The sequence below is a fragment of the Homo sapiens genome, chromosome 17 (genome assembly GCF_000001405.40).
Source record: "Homo sapiens chromosome 17, GRCh38.p14 Primary Assembly".
Lineage (NCBI taxonomy): Eukaryota > Metazoa > Chordata > Mammalia > Primates > Hominidae > Homo > Homo sapiens.
The window spans coordinates 79,055,200-79,074,685 of NC_000017.11; the positions used below are offsets into that span (position 1 = coordinate 79,055,200).

The window sequence follows — 19,486 nt, forward strand, 5'->3', positions numbered from 1 at the left end:
AAAATGAATGCAGAGGAAAGGTGAGAGATGCAGGGAGGAATCCAGGCCTAGAATAATGGTGAATTTGGTGGCGATTCTCAACGGATGTCGCCAGTAAGAAAATAATAATCTTGGAAACCAGTCGGAAAATTCTCAGAATGTTAAACATAGAGTTTCCACATGACTCAGTACTTCCACTAAGTGTATACCCAAGAGAAATAAGGACAAGCTCCCACACAAAAGCTTGTACTCCAATGTTCCTAGTAGTATTCATAATAGCCAAAAAATGGAAGCAACCCAAATGTCCATCAGTGGGTAACGGAATAAATAAAATGTGGTGTGTCCATATGATGGGCTATTATTTGGCTATAAAAGGAATGAATTAGTGATGCATGCTACAGCATGGAATGAACCTCAAAACATTACACTGTGTGCGAGAAACCAGACATGAAGACCACATATTGTGGGATTCCATTTATATGAAATCTCCAGGGGAGGCACATCCATGGAGACAGAAAGCAGACGAGAAGTTTCCAAGGCTGCTTGTGTGTGGTGGGGGGATTAGAATACGACTGCTAGTTGGTTTCTTTTTGGGGAGACAAACTGTTTGTTTGTTTGTTTTTTTGAGATGGAGTCTTGCACTGTTGCCCAGGCTGGAGGGCAGTGGCATGATCTTGGCTCACTGCAACCTCTGCCTCCCAGGTTCAAGTGATTCTCCTGCCTCAGCCTCCCAAGTAGCTGGGATTACAGGTGCATGCCACCACGCCTGGCTAATTTTTTTGTATTTTTAGTAGAGACAGGGTTTCACTATGTTGGTCAGCCTGGTCTCAAACTCCTGACCTTGTGATCCACCAGCCCCGGCCTCCCAAAGTGCTGGGATTACAGGCGTGAGCCACCATGGCCGGCTGAGACAAACTGTTCTAAAACTAGATTGTGGTGATAGCTGCACAACTCTGTTAATTGTCTTGTTGTTGTTGTTGTTTGTTTGTTTTTGGAGACAGAGTCTCGCTCTGTCACCCAGGCTAGAGTGCAGTGGTACGATCTCAGCTCACTGCGACCTCCACCTCCTGGGCTCAAGTGATTCTCCTGCCTCAGCCTCCCGAGTAGCTGGGATTACAGGTGTGCGCCACCATGCCTGGCTAATTTTTGTATTTTTAGTGAGACAGGGTTTCACCATGTTTGTCAGGCTGGTCTTGAACTCCTGACCTCAGGTGATCCACCCACCTCGACCTCCCGAAGTGCTGGGATTACAGGTATGAGCCACCACGCCTGGCCGAACTGTTAAAGAAGACCTTATTTAGTGACTCTTGTTAAGGCATGGTAAGGCAGACCTTATCAGGACTGTTGAGACAGGTACAGGGACCATTGCAATGGGGTCTTGTGGTGGAGGAAAGGGATTGGGTGTAACCCAGAATACAGCTTGGGCAAGTGGGGATTTATAGCCGGGGAGCAGGGTGGGGGTCAGTGGGTGGAAAATTCCTAGGAGGAAACATCGGGGTGAGGGGGTTCTGGCTATAACCATTAGGTTTTTATTGTGGCAGCATCTGTAGGGAATGCTGGGCTGTGAGTCAGCACTGCTTCCCAGTGCATGTATAAGTTATGTTTACGCTATACTATAGTCTATTAAGTGTGCAACAGCATTAATTCTTATCAAAAATGTACATACCTTAATTTAAAAAATACTTTATTGGCCCAGGCATAGTGGCTCACGCCTGTCATCTCAGCACTTTGGGAGGCTGAGGCAGGTGGATTTCTTGAGCCCAGGAGTTCAAGACCAGCCTGGGCAACGTGGTGAAACCCCATCTCTACAAAAAGTTAGCTGGGCATGGTGGCACATGCCAGTACTCCTAGCTACTTGGGAGGCTGAGGTGGGAGGACCACTTGAGCCCAGGGAGGTCAAGGCTGCAGTGAGCTGAGATTGCACCACTGCACTCAACCCTGGATGACAGAGTGAGACTGTGTCTCAAAAAACAATAATAATAATAAGAATACTTTATTGGCTAGGTACAGTGGCTCACACCTGTAATCTCAGCGCTTTAGGAGGTCAAGGTAGGAGGATTGCTTGAGCTTAGGAATTCGAGACCAACCTGTGCAGCAAAGTAAGGGCACCTATCACCTATCTCTACAAAAAATAGAAAAAATTTAGCCAGGCAGAGTGGCACACGGCTGTGGTCCCAGCTACTCGGGAGGCTGAGGTGGGAGGATCACCTGAGCCCAGGGAGGTTGAGGCTGCAGTGAGCCATGATAGCATCTCTGCACTCCAGCCTGGGTGACAGAGCCAGACTCTATCTCAAATAATAATAATAACCATAATAATAATAATAATAACAACAACAACACAACTTTGGGAGGCCGACGTCACCTGAGGTGAGGAATTCGAGAACAGCCTGGCCAACATGGTGAAACCCTGTCTCTGCTAAAAATACAAAAATTAGCCAGGCGTGGTGGTGGGCACCTGTAATCCCAGCTACTAGGGTGGCTGAGGCAGGAGAATTGCTTGAACCTGGGAGGTGGAGGTTGCAGTGAGCTGAGATTGCACCACTGCACTTCAGCCTGGGTGACAGAGCCAGACTCTGTCTCAAACAAAACAAAACAAACAAAAAACAAAACCAAAACTCTTCAAAGAAAATGAACAGGGCTAGAATCTAATACTGGATGCAGCATGGTTTTTTTCTGAAACATACCATGTCACCCTTGGCCTTAAAACTCCCCTCCTCATGTGGTTATTTGTGTTACACCCGCTTATTCCTCACCCCACTGACCCCAAACCCAACACATCCCACCATTGCCGACTGTGACAAAAACTTAGTGGCCAACACCAGAGTCATGGCAATAAGTTCCCCTTTTGTGTGTGTTTTCTTTAAACGAGCAATCCACAACCCCCACAAGAAAGAATAAGATAATGCCCATGGGCCTTAACGAGGGCCTGATCTCACAGGTCCCCACCCACCCCACCGCCACGTACACATATACACCTCCCCCGCTGGGTGAGCTCCCTGCTGTCTCTGGACTGCCCATCGCCCTCTCAGGCACGTTGTTCTCTCCAGGGTCTGTGAGTAATAAACTGCTTCTCTTCCGTCATGTGTTCTGTAATGATGCCTCCTGGTCAGGGCTCTTCTAGAGAGTCACTGTCTTGGTAGGGACACAGGTCACACAAAAGCCACAAGGGCTTCCAGTGGAAACAAGTTTCCTGGGAGAGGAACACCTGGTGACACATAGGCATTAGGCCATCTACCAGAATAAAGAAGGCTCTTATGGCCAGGCGTGGTGGCTCACACCTCTAATCCCAGCGCTTTGGGAAGCCAAGTGGGACAGATCACCTGAGGTCAGGAGTTGGAGACCAGTCTGGCCAACACAGTGAAACCCCATTTCTACTAAAAAATACAAAAATTAGCTCAGTGTGGTGGCGCATGCCTTTAATCCCAGCTACTTGGGAAGCTGAGGCAGGAGAAATGCTCCAACCCGAGAGGTGGAGGTTGCAGTGAGCTGAGATCATGCCACTGCACTCCAGGCTGGGCGACAGAGAGAGACTCTGTCTCAAAAAAAGAAGCCTCCTGTGAAAGGCATACTGCAAACGCCCACCAGCACTTCCCCTGGAGCCTTGTCAGGGCGAGTTTACAGGCACCCTCCAGAAGAGACCTGAAGGCCAAATTAGAGGAAAATCACACCACCACTGAGCAGTACACTTAAAATGGGCAATTTAGCAAATCTTATGTGTGTTTTATCACAGTAAAAAATCTGGAAAAAAAAAAACAGGAAGCGGAGAAGTGGACGGTGGTTGGGGTTGGGCAATGAGTACATTTGTATTTGTGTGTGTGTGTGTGTGTGTGTGTGTGTGTGTGTGTATGTGTGACAGAGTCTCCGTCTGTCACCCAGGTTGGAATGCAGTGGCGCGACCCTGGCTCACCGCAACCTCCACCTCCTGGGTTCAAGCGATCTGCTGCCTCGGCCTCCTGAGTAGTTGGGATTACAGGCACGTGCCACCATGCCTGGGTAATTTTTGTATTTTTAGTAGAAACAGGGTTTCACCATGTTGGTCAGGCTGGTCTCAAACTCCTGACCTCGTGATCCACCAGCCTCGGCCTCCCAAAGTGCTGGGATTATAGGCGTGACCCACTGTGCCTGGCCACATTTGTATTTTAAATTCTACATAATGTGCATTGTGTGAGGTGCACATGCTACCTTTTTAGTATGAAAAACCAAGCTAGCAGCCGGGCATGGTGGCTAATGCCTGTAATCCCAGCACTCTGGGAGGCCAAGGCAGGTGGATTATTTGAGCCCGTAAGTTCAAGACCAGCCTGGGTAACATGGTGAAAACCCATCTCTACAAAAAATGCAAAAAGTAGCTGGGCATGGTGTCATGCGCTTGTGGTCCCAGCTGCTCAGGAGGCTGAAGGGGGAGGTGTGGCAAACTTCATTCTTGTCTTTTTTTTTTTTTTTTGAGACAGTATCGAGCCCAGGAAGTTGAGGTCGCAGTGAGCTACGATCCTGCCAACTGCGCTCCAGCCTGGGTGACAGAGCCAGACCTTGTCTCAGAAAAGCAAAATAAAACAAACAAAAACAAGTAAAACCAAACTAGCACAAAAAGCTATATGTCTTTATTATAGAAAAATATTCAAATAGAAGCTGGTTATTTTAGTTTAAAGTAAAGTATCGGGCCAGGCGCGGTGGCTCGTGCCTGTAATCCCAGCACTTTGGGAGGCTGAGGGGGGCCGAGGAGGGGCGGATCACCTGAGGTCAGGAGTTCGAGACCAGCCTGGCCAACATGGTGAAACCCCGTGTCTACTAAAAATACGAAAAAAAAAAAAAAAAGCCCGGCGTGGCAGCACATGCCTGTAATCCCAGCTACTTGGGAGGCTGAGGCAGGAGAACCCTTTGAACCTGGGAGGCAGAGGTTGCAGTGAGCTGAGATAGCACCACTGGACTCCAGCCTGGGTGACAGAGCAAGACTATCTCAAAAAAATAAAATAAATTATCTCTCAGATTAAGAAAACATATATCATATATATATTAATAGTAAAGCTTTAGTTGCCATAGCTAGAGATTCCTCTGATGGATCTGGGCAAGTCAACTGAAAACCTTCTGGAAGAGATTCCCCATTCTAGATGACATTAAGAACATTCATGATTCATGGGAGGCCAACATTCACAGGAGTTTGGAAGAGCTTGATGCCAACCCTCATGGATGGCTTGGAGGGTCCAAAATTCCAGTGGAGGAAGGAACTATAGAGGTGGTGGAAATAGCAGAGAACTAGAACAAGAAGCGGAGCTTGGAGATGGGACTGAGTTGCCACAATCTCATGATCAAACTTAAATGGATGAGAGCTGCTTCTTAGGGATGAGCAAAGAAAGTGGTTTCTTGAGATGGAATCTACTCCTGGTGAAGATGCCATGAACATTGTTAAAATGACAACACAGGATTTAGAATATTCCATAAATGTAATTGATACAACAGTGGCAGGGTTTGAGAGGACTGATTCTAATTTTTTTTTTTAGATGGAGTTTTGCTCTGTCACCCAGGCTGGAGTACAACGGCATGATCTTGGCTCACTGCAACCTCTGCCTCCCGGGTTCAAGCGATGCTCATGCCTCAGCCTCCCAAGTGGCTGGGATTACAGGTACCCGCCACAGTGCCTGGCTAATTTTTGTATTTTTAGTAGAGGCGGGGTTTCATCATGTTGCCCAGGCTGGGCTCCAACTTCTGACCTTAACTGATCACTTTAAATCCCAAAGAGCTGGGATTACAGGCCAAGCCACCATGCCTGGCCTGATTATAATTTTGAAAGAGGTTCTTCTGTGGGTAAAATGCTATCAAATATTATTGCATGCTGCGGAGAAATCTTTCCTGGATGGAAGAGTCCCTCGGTGTGGCAAATTTCATCATTGTCTTTTTTTTTTTTTTTTTTTTTTTGAGGCAGAGTCTCACTCTGTTGCCCAGGTTGTGCAGTAGCACAATCATGGCTCACTGCAGCCTTGACCTCCCCAAGCTCAGGTGATCCTCTCACCTCAGCCTCCCTAGTAGCTGGGACTACAGGCGTGTTTCAGCATGCCTAATTTTTTTTTTTTTTTGTAGAGAGGCGGTTTTGCCATGTTGCCCAGGCTGGTCTTGAACTCCTGGGCTCAAGCAATCCTCCTGCCCTGACCTCCCAAAGTGCTGGGATTACAGGCGTGAGCCATGGTGCCCAGCCCTGTTGTCATATTTTAAGAAATTGCCACAGCCAGCTGGGCATGGTGTCTCATGCCTGTAATCCCAGTATTTTGGGAGGCCAAGGTGGGTGGATCACGAGGTCAAGAGATCAAGACCATCCAAGCCAACATGGTGAAACCCCGTCTCTACTAAAAAATACAAAAATTAGCTGGGCATGGTGGCGCATGCCTGTAGTCCCAGCTGCTCGGGAGGCTGAGGCAGGAGAATCGCTTGAATCCGGGAGGCAGGGGTTGCAGTGAGCCGAGATCGTGCCACTGCACTCCAGCCTGGCGACAGAGCTAGACTCCATCTCAAAAAAAAAAAAAAAAAAAAAAAAAAGAAATTGCCACAGCCACCCTAATCTTCAGTAACCACCACCCTGGACAGTCAGCAGTCACCAACATTGAGGCAAGATCCTCCACCAGCAAAATGATGACAACTAGACTTGCTGAAGGCTTAGATAATCACTAGTAATTTTTAGCTATATATATATATATATATATATATATATATATTTTTTTTTTTTTTTTTTTTTTTTTTTTTTTTTGAGATGGAGTTTTGCTCTTGTTGCCCAGGCTGGAATGCAGTGGCATGATCTCAGCTCACTGTAACTTCTGCCTCCTGGGTTCAAGTGGTTCTCCTGCCTTAGCCTTCTATTACAGGCATCTGCCACTATGCCCGGCTAATTTTGTATTTTTTTGTAGAGACAGGGTTTCACCATGTTGGCCAGGCTGGTCTTGAAATCCTGACATCAGGCAATCCACCCACCTCGGCCTCCCAAAGTGCTGGGATTACAGGCATAGGCCACCGAGCCCGGCCACAATAATGTATTTTTAAATTAACGTGTGTACCTTGTTTCTTAAGACATAATGGTATTGCACACTTAATAAACTACAGTATAATGTAAACATTACTTTATAATTAATTAATTTTTTTTTTATTTTAGAGATGGGGGGTCTCACTCTGTTGTGCAGGCTGCAGATCCATGGTGCCAACACAGCTCACTTCAACCTCCAACTCCCAGACTCAAGCAGTACTCCTCCAGCCTCCTGAGAAGCTGGGACCGCAGGCATGCACCACCACGCCCGGCTAATTTTTGTATTTTTTTTGTTGTTGTTGTAGAGACAGGGTCTCACTATGTTGTCCAGACTAGTCTTGAACTCCTGGGCTCACTTGGTCCTCCTGCCTCAGCTTCTCAAAGTGCTGGGATTACAGGCATGAGCCAAGGTGCCCAGCCCATAAACATAACTTTTATAGGCTCCAGGAAACCAAAAAATTGTAACTCACTTGTATTAGTTTGTTTTCACGCTGGTGATAAAGACATACCCAACACTGGGCAATTTACAAAAGAAAGACGTTTAACGAACTTACAGTTCCACGTAGCTGGGGAGGCCTCACAACCATGGCAGAAGGTGAAAGCTACATCTCACGTAGTGGCAGACAAGAGAGGAGAAGAGACCTTATGCAAGGAAACTCCCCTTTTTACAACCATCAGATCTTGTGAGACTTATTCACTATCACGAGAGCAGCACGGGAAAGACCCGCCCCCATGATTCAGTTACTTCCCATTGGGTCCCTCCCACAACATGTGGGAATTCAAGATGAGATTTGGGTGGGGACACAGCCAAACTATATCATCACTTTATTGCAATATTAACTTTACTTTGGTGGACTCAACTGAATCTGCAATATCTTTGAGGCAAGCCTGTACCAAATTAATTACATTGTTGCATAACAAACCACCTACCTAATAGCTTAAGAAGAAAACATCAGTTCCTCATCCGTCATGATCGTGGGGGTTGGCAGGTGGATCTGCTGGCTTTATTTGGCTTGTTCATGAGGCTTTCTGCAGCAGGTAGTTCAGCTGGAGCCAGGTGGCCTATGATGGCCTCACGCACGTGTCTAGGGCCTCAGCTGAAAGGGCTGAGGTGTCTATGTCTCTCTCCCCGCATCCTCTTTCATCCCAGGCTTCTTCGGAGTGTAGTGATCTCAGCACAGTGCTCCAAGAGGGTAGGAGAGGAATATATGAGGCCTACTGGGACCGGGCCTCGGGAGTCACATGGTGGCCCCTCCATCCAGTCACAGGGCCAGCCCAGGGAAGCGGTGGGTAACAGACTTCACCATGTCATGGGAGGAGATGCAGAGAATCTGCAGCCATCTTTAACACATCAGAGAGGCCACTTACAAAATGTCATTTACCCAGAGGCAAATCTTTTTTTTTTTCAAGATGGAGTCTTGCTCTGTCACCCAGGCTGGAATGCAGTGGTGCAGTCTCGGCTCACTGCAACCTCTGCCTCCCCAGTTCAAGTGATTCTCCTGCCTCAGCTAAGTAGCTGGGACTATTGGCACCTGCCACCATGCCCAGCTAATTTTTGTATTTTTAGTAGAGATGGGGTTTCACCATGTTGGCCAGGCTGGTCTCAAACTCCTGACCTCAAGTGATCCACCCACCTCCGCCTCCCAAAGTGCTAGGATTATGGGCAAGAGCCACTGTGCCCAGCCCCAGAGGCAAATCTAACAATCAATGTGTAAGACCTTTACACAGATAACTGTTAAGAAGTATAAAATTGAAATCCACGGACAGCACGTTGGTTCTTATTCTCTGAAAAGATGCCAAGACAGGATTGGAAGTCCATGAGATTTATTTGGGGACGTGTTTGTGAAGGATAAAGGCAGGAGGAGGCTGCAGTGGGGAGCTTAGACTACGTGGGAAAGAGAGGGCAAGGCAGGAGAATTGGGTTGGAAGAATCTCAAACTGTAGCACAGTTCCCAGAAAGGTTTGGCCAGGCTGATGGGTAGTCCTTGAGCAAACATGATCCTTTGTCACAATGCTGTGCTCAGTCATGGGCTAAGAGCAGACTGTGGGCAGCACAGCCTCAGCCTGGCTTTGTGAAATCCCCAAAGACAGCAGCTCAGCCCTCCAGTCACCTGTTCCCCTGTGCCCAGCAGGAGATCTGAGTGGTGCATCTGCTTGGTCTCCGTGGAAGAATATGCCATACTCGTGTGCTGTCAAACCCAATCATATAATGATGTCAATTTTTTCCCAACCCGGGATTTCAATTATATCTCAATCCAAATTCCAGTAGAAATCAACAGAATAGGCTGGGCTCAGTGGCACACTCTTGTAATCCCAGCACTTTGGGAGGCCGAGGCAGGCAGGTGACTTGAGGTCAGGAGTTCCAGACCAGCCTGGCCAATAGAGTGAAACCCCATCTCTACTAAAAATACAAAATTCAGCTGGGCATGATGGCCCACACCTGTAATCCCAGCTAGTTGGGAGGCTGAGGCACAAGAATCGCTTGAACCTGGGAGGCAGGGGTTGCGGTGAGTGGAGATCACGCCACTGCACTCCAGCCTGGGCGACAGAGCGAGACTCCATCTCAAAAAAGAAGAAAGAAACTGAAAGTACGATTCTAAAAGTTATGTGGGGCCGGGCGCAGTGGCTCACACCTGTAATCCCAGCACTTTGGGAGGCCGAGGTGGGAGGATCACCTGAGGTCAGGAGTTCAAGACCAGCCTGGCCAAATGGCAAAACCCCGTCTTTACTAAAAATACAAAAATTAGCTGGGCATGGTGGTGTGTGCCTGTAATCCCAGCTACTCAGGAGGCTGAGTAGGAGAATCGCTTGAACCTGGGAGGTGGAGGTTGCAGTGAGCCAAGATTGTGCCACTGCACTCCAGCCTGGGAGACACAGTTAGACTCCATCTCAATAAAATAAAATAAAATAAAATAAAATAAAAATTATATGGAAATATAAGGGCCAAGAATATCCCTGTTAATCTTGGAGATCAAGGTCAGAGAACTTGTTCTGCTAAATATAAAGATTTATTTTAAAGCTTCGACATTAAGACTTTGGGATGTGCACAATAAAGACAAATGGAATAGAGGGCTCAGGCACGTGTGGATGTGTGACTTTCCAGAAGGGGGCACTGCAGAGCCACAAAAGAGACTTTCTGGAAATCATGTGATGACTGGAGGGACATACGATAAAAAATAAAATAAAACGTGTCCCCTTCCCTCACGTCATAAATAAAAGCAATTGCAGGTGAGCTGCAGATTTGAAGATTAACGGAAAAACAGTAACGCTTGCGGAAAATAACAGAGGATGGCGTAGCCCATAAGGTCATGACTTTGAAGTAAGGAAGTGTCTTTAGAAAAATCCACGAAACTACTAATAATAAGAGAAAAGGCTGATGAACTTTACTACAGTAAAATTAAGAACTTTTTTTTGATGGGTTAAGGAGGAGCTAAAAGTAGAAATTACAGAGTATTTAGAACTTCATGAAAATGCAAGTACTACCCCATCAAAACCTATGGAGTAACAAGAGAAGTGATTCTCAGGGGCACACGTGTCCCTGAGACTGCATGCATTTGAAAACAAAAAAGATTTAAAAATAAGCGAACCCCAATTCGCAATTGCAAAATCATGGAACCAACCCAAATGCCCATCAATCAAAGAGTGGATAAAGAAACTGTGTGTGTGAGAGAGAGAGAGATATATATATATCACAGTATATATATCATATATGGTATATATATGGTATATCATATATATACTGTGATATATAAGATATAATTATTATATATACTGTGATATATAAGATATGATTATATGATATATAAATGATATATATGATATACCAAATATACACCATATATATGATATATACTGTGATATATATGATATACTGATATATCACATATATATGATATACATCAGTATATATACTAATACATGTGATATATACATATATATGATGTGAAAGAGAGAAACTGTGAGAGAGATATACATCATATACATACAGTGATATATATGACATACTGATATATATCACATATGATACACATATATCATATATCTGATATGTAAGTGATATATATATACACACACACACACATATAGGATGGAATACCACTCAGCCATAAAAAGGAATGAGTTAACAGCATTTGCAGTGACCTGGATGAGATTGGAGAGTATTACTCTAAGTGAAGTTACTAGGGAATGGGAAACCAAACACCTTATGTTCTCACTCATAAGTGGGAGCTAAGCTATGAGAATGCAAAGGCATAAGAATGATACAATGGACTTTGGGGATTTGGGGGGAAGGGTGGGAAGGGGTGATGGATAAAAGACCACAAATAGGGTACAGTGTGTACTGCTTGGGTGATGTGTGCACCAACATCTCAGAAATCACCACTAAAGAACTTACTCATGTAACCAAATACCACCTGTACCCCAATAACCTATGGAAAAATAAAAAATCAAAAAATGAGAATAGAAATAAAAAAATAAGTGAACCTAAGTTTCCACTTTTGAAACCAGAAAAATGGCCAGGCAGCCAGGCGCAGTGACTCACGCCTGTAATCCCAGCACTTTGGGAGGCCGAGACGGGTGGATCACCTGAGGTCAGGAGTTTGGGACCAACCTGGTTAACATAGTGAAATCCCATCTCTACTAAAAATAAAAAATTAGCCGGGTGTGGTGGCATGTACCTGTAGTCCCAGCTACTCGGGAGGCTGAGGCAGGAGAATCGCTTGAACCCAGGAGGCAGAGGTTGCAGTGAACCGAGATTGCACCACTGCACTCCAGCCTGGGTGACAGAGTGAGACTCAGTCTCAAAAAAAAAAAAAAAATGGACAGATGAGGTGGCTCATGCCTGCAATCCCCGCATTTTGGGAGACCGAGGCAGGAGCATCACTTGAGCCCAGGAGTACGAGACCAGCTGGGCAACATGGTAAAACCCTGTCTCTACAAAAAAATTAGTCAGGTGTGGTGGTATGCACCTGTAGTCCTAGCTACCGGCAAGGCCGAGGTGGGAGGATCGCTTAAGCCCAGGGGTTGCAGAGGTTACAGTGAGCTGAGATCTTGCCAACTGCACTCCAGCCTTGGTGACAGAGCAAGACCCTGGCAAACACACACACACACACACACACACACACACACAAAACAAACACCAAAAAAACCAAACAAGAAAAATCCAGAAAAAGAACAGCATAAATCCAAAGAGCATGAAAATATTAAAAGCAGAAATTAGTGAAACAAAAAATAGAACAAAATAAAGAGCTTGTTTTTTGAACAGACGAGTAACATGGACAGTCCTTCAGCAAAAAAGCATGAAGAAAAAAAGGAAGAAGACACAAATAAACACAAAGAGGCGGCACAACCAAGAGACGAAAAGAGACGATTAGGAGCAACTTAATACCCCAAATTTGAAAACCTTGATGAAATGGACACTTTTCTAGGAAAACAGTAATCAGCAAAATTGGCCCAGAAAGAAAGGAAGGTCTGAGTAGGTCAATAACCAAGAAGGAAGATGAACTATTAAAGACCTACTTCCCAAAAGGCATCTGAATTTGTAGATGTAAAAAGAAAAAACAAACAAACACAATTAAGCTAGAGAATTATTAGCCAAAGATGCAGGAGAATACCTTTGTGAGCTTACAGCAGGACAGCTCTGCTAAACTGGGGAAACAGGAAAGTCATATATGATGATATGAATCCACCTGACCATACTGAAGTGTGAAATACCAATAGTACCAGAGACTTTGAAAGAGTTCAAGACAAGCAGCACACAGATTCGCTCCCTTCATATACAGTAAAGGCAAAATATCAGTATCTGGGGTATGCAATACACCCCTAAACACCAGTAAGAAAATAACATAATTGAAATGAACAAAGGGCTTAATGGGATTGTCACAGAAGATGTAACACATGTCCCAAGGGCTAATTGACATTACAAGCTGTGCAACTTGAAGTTTTTGTGTGTGTGTGTCGAATTGCTTTTTTCTTTTTCTTTTTTTTTTTTTCTTTTTTTGAGACAGGGTCTCACTCTGTCGCCCAGGCTGGAGTGCAGTGGTGCAGTCTCGGCTCACTGCAGCCTTAACCTCCAGGGCTCAAGCAATCCTCCCACTTCAGCTTCCCGAGTAGCTGGGACTACAGGCGAATGCCACCATGCCTGGCTAATTTTTTGTATTTTTTTGTAGAGACGGGGTTTTGCCATGTTGCCCAGGCTGGTCTTGAACTCCTGGGCTCAAGTGATTCATACACCTCGGCCTCCTAAAGTGCTGAGATTGCAGGAGTGAGCCTCCCATGCCTGGCTGGTTCAGATCTTTTGAGAGACAGGGCCTTGCTTTGTCACCCCGGCTGGAGTGCAGTGATGCAGTTATAGCTCACTGCAGCCTCACTGCTGGTTCACACTATCCTCTTGCCTCGGCCTCCAGAGTAGCTGGGAATACAGGTGTGTGCCACAATGCCTGTCTGATTTAAAAATAAATTTTTTTTTTGAGATGGAGTCTCACACTGTCACCCAGGCTGGAGTGCAGTGGCCCGATCTTGGCTCACTGCAACCTCTGCCTTCCAGGTTCAGGCGATTCTCCCGCCTCAGCCTCCCAAGTAGCCGGGATTGCAGGCACCTACCACCACACCTGGCTAATTTTTTGTATTTTTAGTAGAGATGGGGTTTCACTATGTTGGCCAGGCTGGTCTCGAACGCCTGACCATGATCCACCCGCCTCCGCCTCCCAAAGTGCTGGGATTACAGGCGTGAGCCACTGCCCCGGCCTAAAATTTTTTTGTAGACTTGCAGGTGTCTCATTATGCTGCCCAGGCTGGTTTCAAACTCCTGGACTCAAGCCATCCTTTCACCTTGGCTTCCCAAAGTGCTGGGATTGCAGGCATGAACCACCATGCCTGGTGCAACTTAAAGTTAAAACAACAATGAAACTCAATGTTCACACATCAGGTGAGCAAAAAAAAAATCTTAAAGTTTGATAACATCACTGTTTGTGAGGTTGCAGAGTAATACACACTCATCCAGTGCTGGGGAAGATGTCAGTGGTGAAACCATTTTGAATGACAATTTGGTAGTGACTGTTACAACTGAAAGTGTGCATATGCTACTGTTAGTAACTCATGTTTTTACCTTAAAAAGAAAAAACATATATATATACAACCCAAAAAGGTTTATACAAAGATATTCATTTTAACATAAAAAATAGCAAACAAATGTTTGTTATGTTGCTATTTAAGCATTCACTGAAATGATGGCATATTAAGTAGCAGTCAAAATGAACAAATTAGAGTTACATAAATCAATATGGCTTGATTTAAAAAATACTGCTAGGTGTAAAAAGCAAGATGCAGAATAACCTGTACAATATGATACGATTTTTATAAAACACAAACAGCCCTATACAGTTCCAGGTACATACACATATTTTAAAGCATGTATGTTTTGAATATCTATACATGTACAGAAAAGTATTTTATTTTAGTTTAGTTTAGTTTAGTTTAATTTATTTTTGAGACAGAGTCTTGCTCTGTCACCCAGGCTGGAGTGCAGTGGCGTGATCTTGGCTCACTGCAATCTCCGCCTCCTGGGTTCAAGTGATTCTCCTGCCTCAGCCTCCAGAGTAGCTGGGCTTACAGGTGTGCACTACCATGCCTGGCTAATTTTTTGTATTTTTAGCAGAGACAGGGTTTTGCCATGTTGCTCAGGTCTCAAAGTCCTGAGCTCAAGTGATCTGCCCACCTCAGCCTCCCAAAGTGCTGGGATTACAGGTGTAAGCCACTGTGCGTGGCCCAGAAAAGTATTTTAAAACATCTGAAAAATACAGGCCAAATTGCTGATATTGGTGGAATACTGAAGGGTGGACTATTGAGGGGGAAGTATGGAAAGCAAGGGGGAGTGGATGAAAGGCAGCATGAATTCTATCTGCAATGCTTTGAAATTTTAAAAGGAGAAAATGAATGCCGTGTGTCAAAAGACAAAATTATAACACATTTAGTTATAAATCTAATTGGCTTTTATTTGAGATTCATGAATCGGGGCAGCTTCCCTTCTACAACATGGAGTAAGAGCTTCCATTGGCCAACGGCAGACAGCGGCTTTTGTGAGATGGGAACAAGGAAACGGAACCACGGGAAAAACGTCAATTGGTCACCATCGTGTTACCTCCTTTGGTAAAGGTTAAAGCAGAGGGGACTTCCTTATCACACTGACTTAAGTAGACTGGAATCTCCTGTTTTCAGGAAAAACTTGTCTGTTTGGGATCTATCTGCTTCCTTAAGGGTTCGGTTTGATGATATGTGGCGTTTAGCATGAGTGACTCCATCTTGCTTTGCTGTGGTCTGTTGGAGCCTAGTGTAGGAGCTCAGTCCAAAATAATGGGTTCCCATAATTTTTGTTTAACAAACACTTGTGCAATTGCAATAATAACACAAGGGAAAATGGGCAGGGCAGGCATCCCAGGTAGTGTCAATGTATTGTTGAGGAGTGAGTGTGTGTTCACAGACAGAGGCGTGCAGGCAGGCAGGACTTTCGAGCAGGTACCTGGGTGCAGCCTCCAGTGGGTATAAAGGTGAGTCGGGGGGCTGGAGCCAGAGGCCAGCCATAGCCACAGCTTTCTTTCATTCATTAAGCCTTTACTGAGTACCAAGGAGAAAGGGAGTGACAGTTGAAAAGTTATTCTTACTCTTTCTTCCTTTTTTTTTTTTTTTTTTTTTTGAGACAGGGTCTCAATCTGTTGCCCGGGATGGAGGTGCAGTGGCACAATCATGGTTCACTGCAGCCTCGACTCCCGGGGCTCAAGTGATCCTCCTACCTCAGCCTCCTGAGTAGCTGGGAGTACAGGCGCATGCCACCACCTGGCTAATTTTTTGTTTGTTTGTTTGAGATGGACTCTTGCTGTGTTGTCAGGCTGGAGTGCAGTGGCATGATCGTGGCTCACTGCAACCTCTGCCTCTCAGGTTCAAGCGATTCCCCTGCCTCAGTCTCCCAAGTAGCTGGGACTACAGGTGCATGCCACCATGCCCGGCTAATTTTTTGTATTTCAGTAGAGACTGGGTTTCACCATGTTTGGCCAGAATGGTCTCGATCTCCTGACCTCAAGTGATCTGCCCACCTCTACCTCCCAAAGTGCTAGGATTACAGGCATGAGCCACCGTGCCTGGCCCAGGCTAATTTTTCATATTTTTTTGGAGAGATGGGGTTTCTCCATGTTGCCCAGGCTGGTTTCCAAGCCTGCTCAAGCAATCAGTCCTCCTGCCTTGGCCTCCCAAAGTGATGAGATTACAGGCGTGAGCCACTGCGTCCAGCCTTGAAAGTTTTACATTGTGCTTTTTGTTTTTCCTCCAGCTGGTCTGAGACATGTATCTGAATGAAGGGACAGTGAGATTTATTGCAGAAGGAATGCAGTGACAACGAACAAGGTAAGAAGATTTTGAATGACAAAAAAAGATACCAGCCTTGCAAGCAGGCTGCTGTTTTGAGAGGTTTGTCTAAATTCCAGGATTTATCCCACTCATCTTAGTTAGATTTAGCTACTGTAAAAACACCAACAGAGTATTGGCTTAAATAAGACAGAAGGGTATTTCTGTCATTTAAGAGTCTGGGCTGGCCGGGAGCAGTGGCTCATGCCTGCAATTCCAGCATTTTGGGAGGCTGAGGTGGGCAGATCAGCCTGATGACAGAGCAAGACTCCATCTCAAAGAAAAAAAAAAAAAATTAGCCTGGCGTGGTGGTGGGCGCCTGTACTCCCAGCTATTCAGGAGACTGAGGTGGGAGTTCGAGACTAGCCTGGCCAACATGGTGAAACCCTGTCTCCACCGAAAATACAAAAAATTACCAGGCGTGATGGTGGGCGCCTGTAATCCCAGCTACTTGGGAGGCTGAGGCAGGAGAATCGCTTGAACCCGGGAGCTGGAGGTTGCAGTTAGTGTGCGGAGATCACGCCACTGAGCTCCAGCCTGGATGAGAGTGAGACTCTGTCTCAAAAAAAAAAAAAGTCCAGACATAAGCAGTCCAGGGCAACACTAGTCTTGCTGTTGGGGACCTAGGCCCCTCCCAGCCCTTCCACAAGTGGCTTTCATCTCATGGTCTCAGATGGTTGCTGCAGTTCCTGCCATCACATCCTTGCACCCAGCTGGCGACCAAGAGAAGCCAGGAAGGAAAGGTGGAGGGCAATGCCCCCTTTGTTTTGCAGGCACAACCAGAATTGCACTTCTCACTTTGTTTCTTGTTTCATAAACCACAGCTTACTTGTAAGTAAGTACACGTGGAAGGTCTAAGTTCTGCCTCTGGGGAATGCTGTCTTCATCTGGGCTACCATGTAGTCAGCAAAAACGTGGGGCTTCCGTTCCTAAAGGACAGGCTCGGAAGGAATATTGGGGACAATTAGTTCCTGCCACACTCTTCAGCATATCAGCAACCAAGCCCGGGGACCAGGTGGTGTCCACTCACCTGATTCTCATTTCCGGCTCCCCCGGAGGCCATGAAGGAGGAGGCAGAGGAAGGCAGAGCAAGCAGGTGTGACTCTAGGTCCCCACTCCGGGCGCTCTGGGCATGGCGAGGGGGGGTGCAGAGGCAAGTGCATGCACTGCGTCACGACCTGCAACAGGAAGCTGATGGGACAGCATGGTCAGGCAGGGAGACCCGAGGCTCAGCTGTCCCAAACCAACCAGTACTGGTGTGGGCAGAGCCCAGGACAGCCAAGAGCCTGCAGGGAGGTGTCAGAGGGGCCCCTGTAACAGGGCAGGGTGGCTCTGCCGAGGCTGTAGTTCAGATTCACAGGTAGGGATGCCAGATTTAGCAAATGCATAGACAGCATCCTAGTTCAGTTTGAATTTTAGATAAATATGCAATAACTTTTTAATATAAGCTTGTCCTATGTCCCAGGCATCATTTATTTGGAATTCAAATTTAACTGATTGCTCTGTATGTTATCTGAAAACACCAGAAGGTTAGGGTTTTAGAGGGCCCACTCAGGCCTCAAACGGATCCAGAGCCCCAGTATGAGCCAATGTGAGCTCAAGGCAGACAGGGCCCCTCCAGGCTTGGCCTGACATCCAGAGAGACCACGAGCCACAGGGGCTAACAAGAGGCCACAAGGCCTAAGTCCTTTCTGTCCTCAGGGGCGTGCAAGGCTGCCTTCACTTTCTTGCTCTTCTAGACCAGGTGCCTACTCTTTGGAAAGGAGAGAAGAAAAGGGAGGTTTGGGCATATTTTCTCCCAGAGACTGAGCATTACCCAAAGGCTGTTCAAAGTATCCCTTAGAACTGTGTTCTAACCTGGGTAGGATGAAAGTTTATCTATTTTTATTGCTAAGCTGCAGGTGAGGGCTTGGGAACACCTGGTTACATGCACCCCAGATCAAGACTGTCCACGTCCGGTGCACCCCTGAACACAGCAGGAGGGAACTTGGGGATCCACTGCCCTCGCTCACTGTAAGCTTCCCAGGACTGAAGCCCCAAAGAGGAGCCCTCTGCCTTCTCTGTCCTCCCCATGGGTCAGCGTGTCCTGCTTCTGAGTGGCCCGTCCTTCCTGCCTAACTGGCTGGCCTGCACCATGGCCCATATTCAACAACCTTAGTCATAGTTCCCACCATTGGCGTTTATGGAAGCTTGGAGCCTCATAAAGTTCAAAGTCTGCAACAATAATAAAGGCCCAGTCAACTTGGCTTGGGCGGCAGCTGCAGCCCAGCACTGGAAGCTCCTAGCTGTGGAGGGGCGTTGGGGCCTGGAGGGAGGAGAGCCTTGGTTTGCCCTGTGGGGCCCAGCCTTGAGTTCTGGCTTCTCAGGGCTCTGTTCTATCATGTTTCCTGTGAACTCCTTTTGTGCCTAAGACGCTGGGCAGTGCCACTCTTGCAGAGGTGCCACTCCAGGCCCTGCACGCTTAGGGGTAGAGCAACTACTACTGTTGGGCACAGGCGTGGGGCTGTAGAAAGAAATCCGTGTTTCACTGGAAAACTATGCATCCTACATAGGACACCAGCTTCCACATGGCCCGATACTAACCTACTAACCTTTCATCTTTTTTTTTTTTTTTTTGAGACGGAGTCTCCCTCTGTCGCCCAGGCTGGAGTGCAATGGCACCGTCTCGGCTCATTGCAGCCTCTGCCTCCCGGGTTCCAGCGATTCTCCAGTCTCAGCCTCTCAGGTAGCTGGGATTACAGGCATGCACCACCACGCCCGGCTAATTTTTGTATTTTAAGTAGAGACGGGGTTTCACCATGTTGGCCAGGGTAGTCTCGAACTCCTGACTTCAGGTGATCCGCCCGCCTCGGCCTCCCAAAGTGCTGGAATCGCAGACGTGAGTCACCGCGCCCGGTCTGAAAATTATCTTTTAATAGGGGTTAGCTGCATGAGTTAAAATCTCATTGCCACCATTTGCTGACTTTGTGCCCTCTGGGAGATTGCTTAATCTCTCTGGGATAAACCTCGGTTTGCTTGACAAAGGAAGCTGGTGAGGCTAAAGAGAGAACTCTAAGATTGGGGCGTTCCGAAGCCTTCTAGAGCCTTCTAGCACCCTGGACTCATAGCCAA

General features: G+C 46.5%; 1 annotated feature.

The window, feature by feature from the left end:
• Positions 7,508 to 7,802: an enhancer, noted in NCBI's record as "tiled region #5335; HepG2 Activating non-DNase unmatched - State 21:Repr, and K562 Activating DNase matched - State 9:DNaseU". NCBI's record gives its function as "activates a minimal TATA promoter and a strong SV40 promoter by Sharpr-MPRA in HepG2 and K562 cells {active_cell/tissue: HepG2 | K562}" and the evidence as "EXISTENCE:reporter gene assay evidence [ECO:0000049][PMID:27701403]".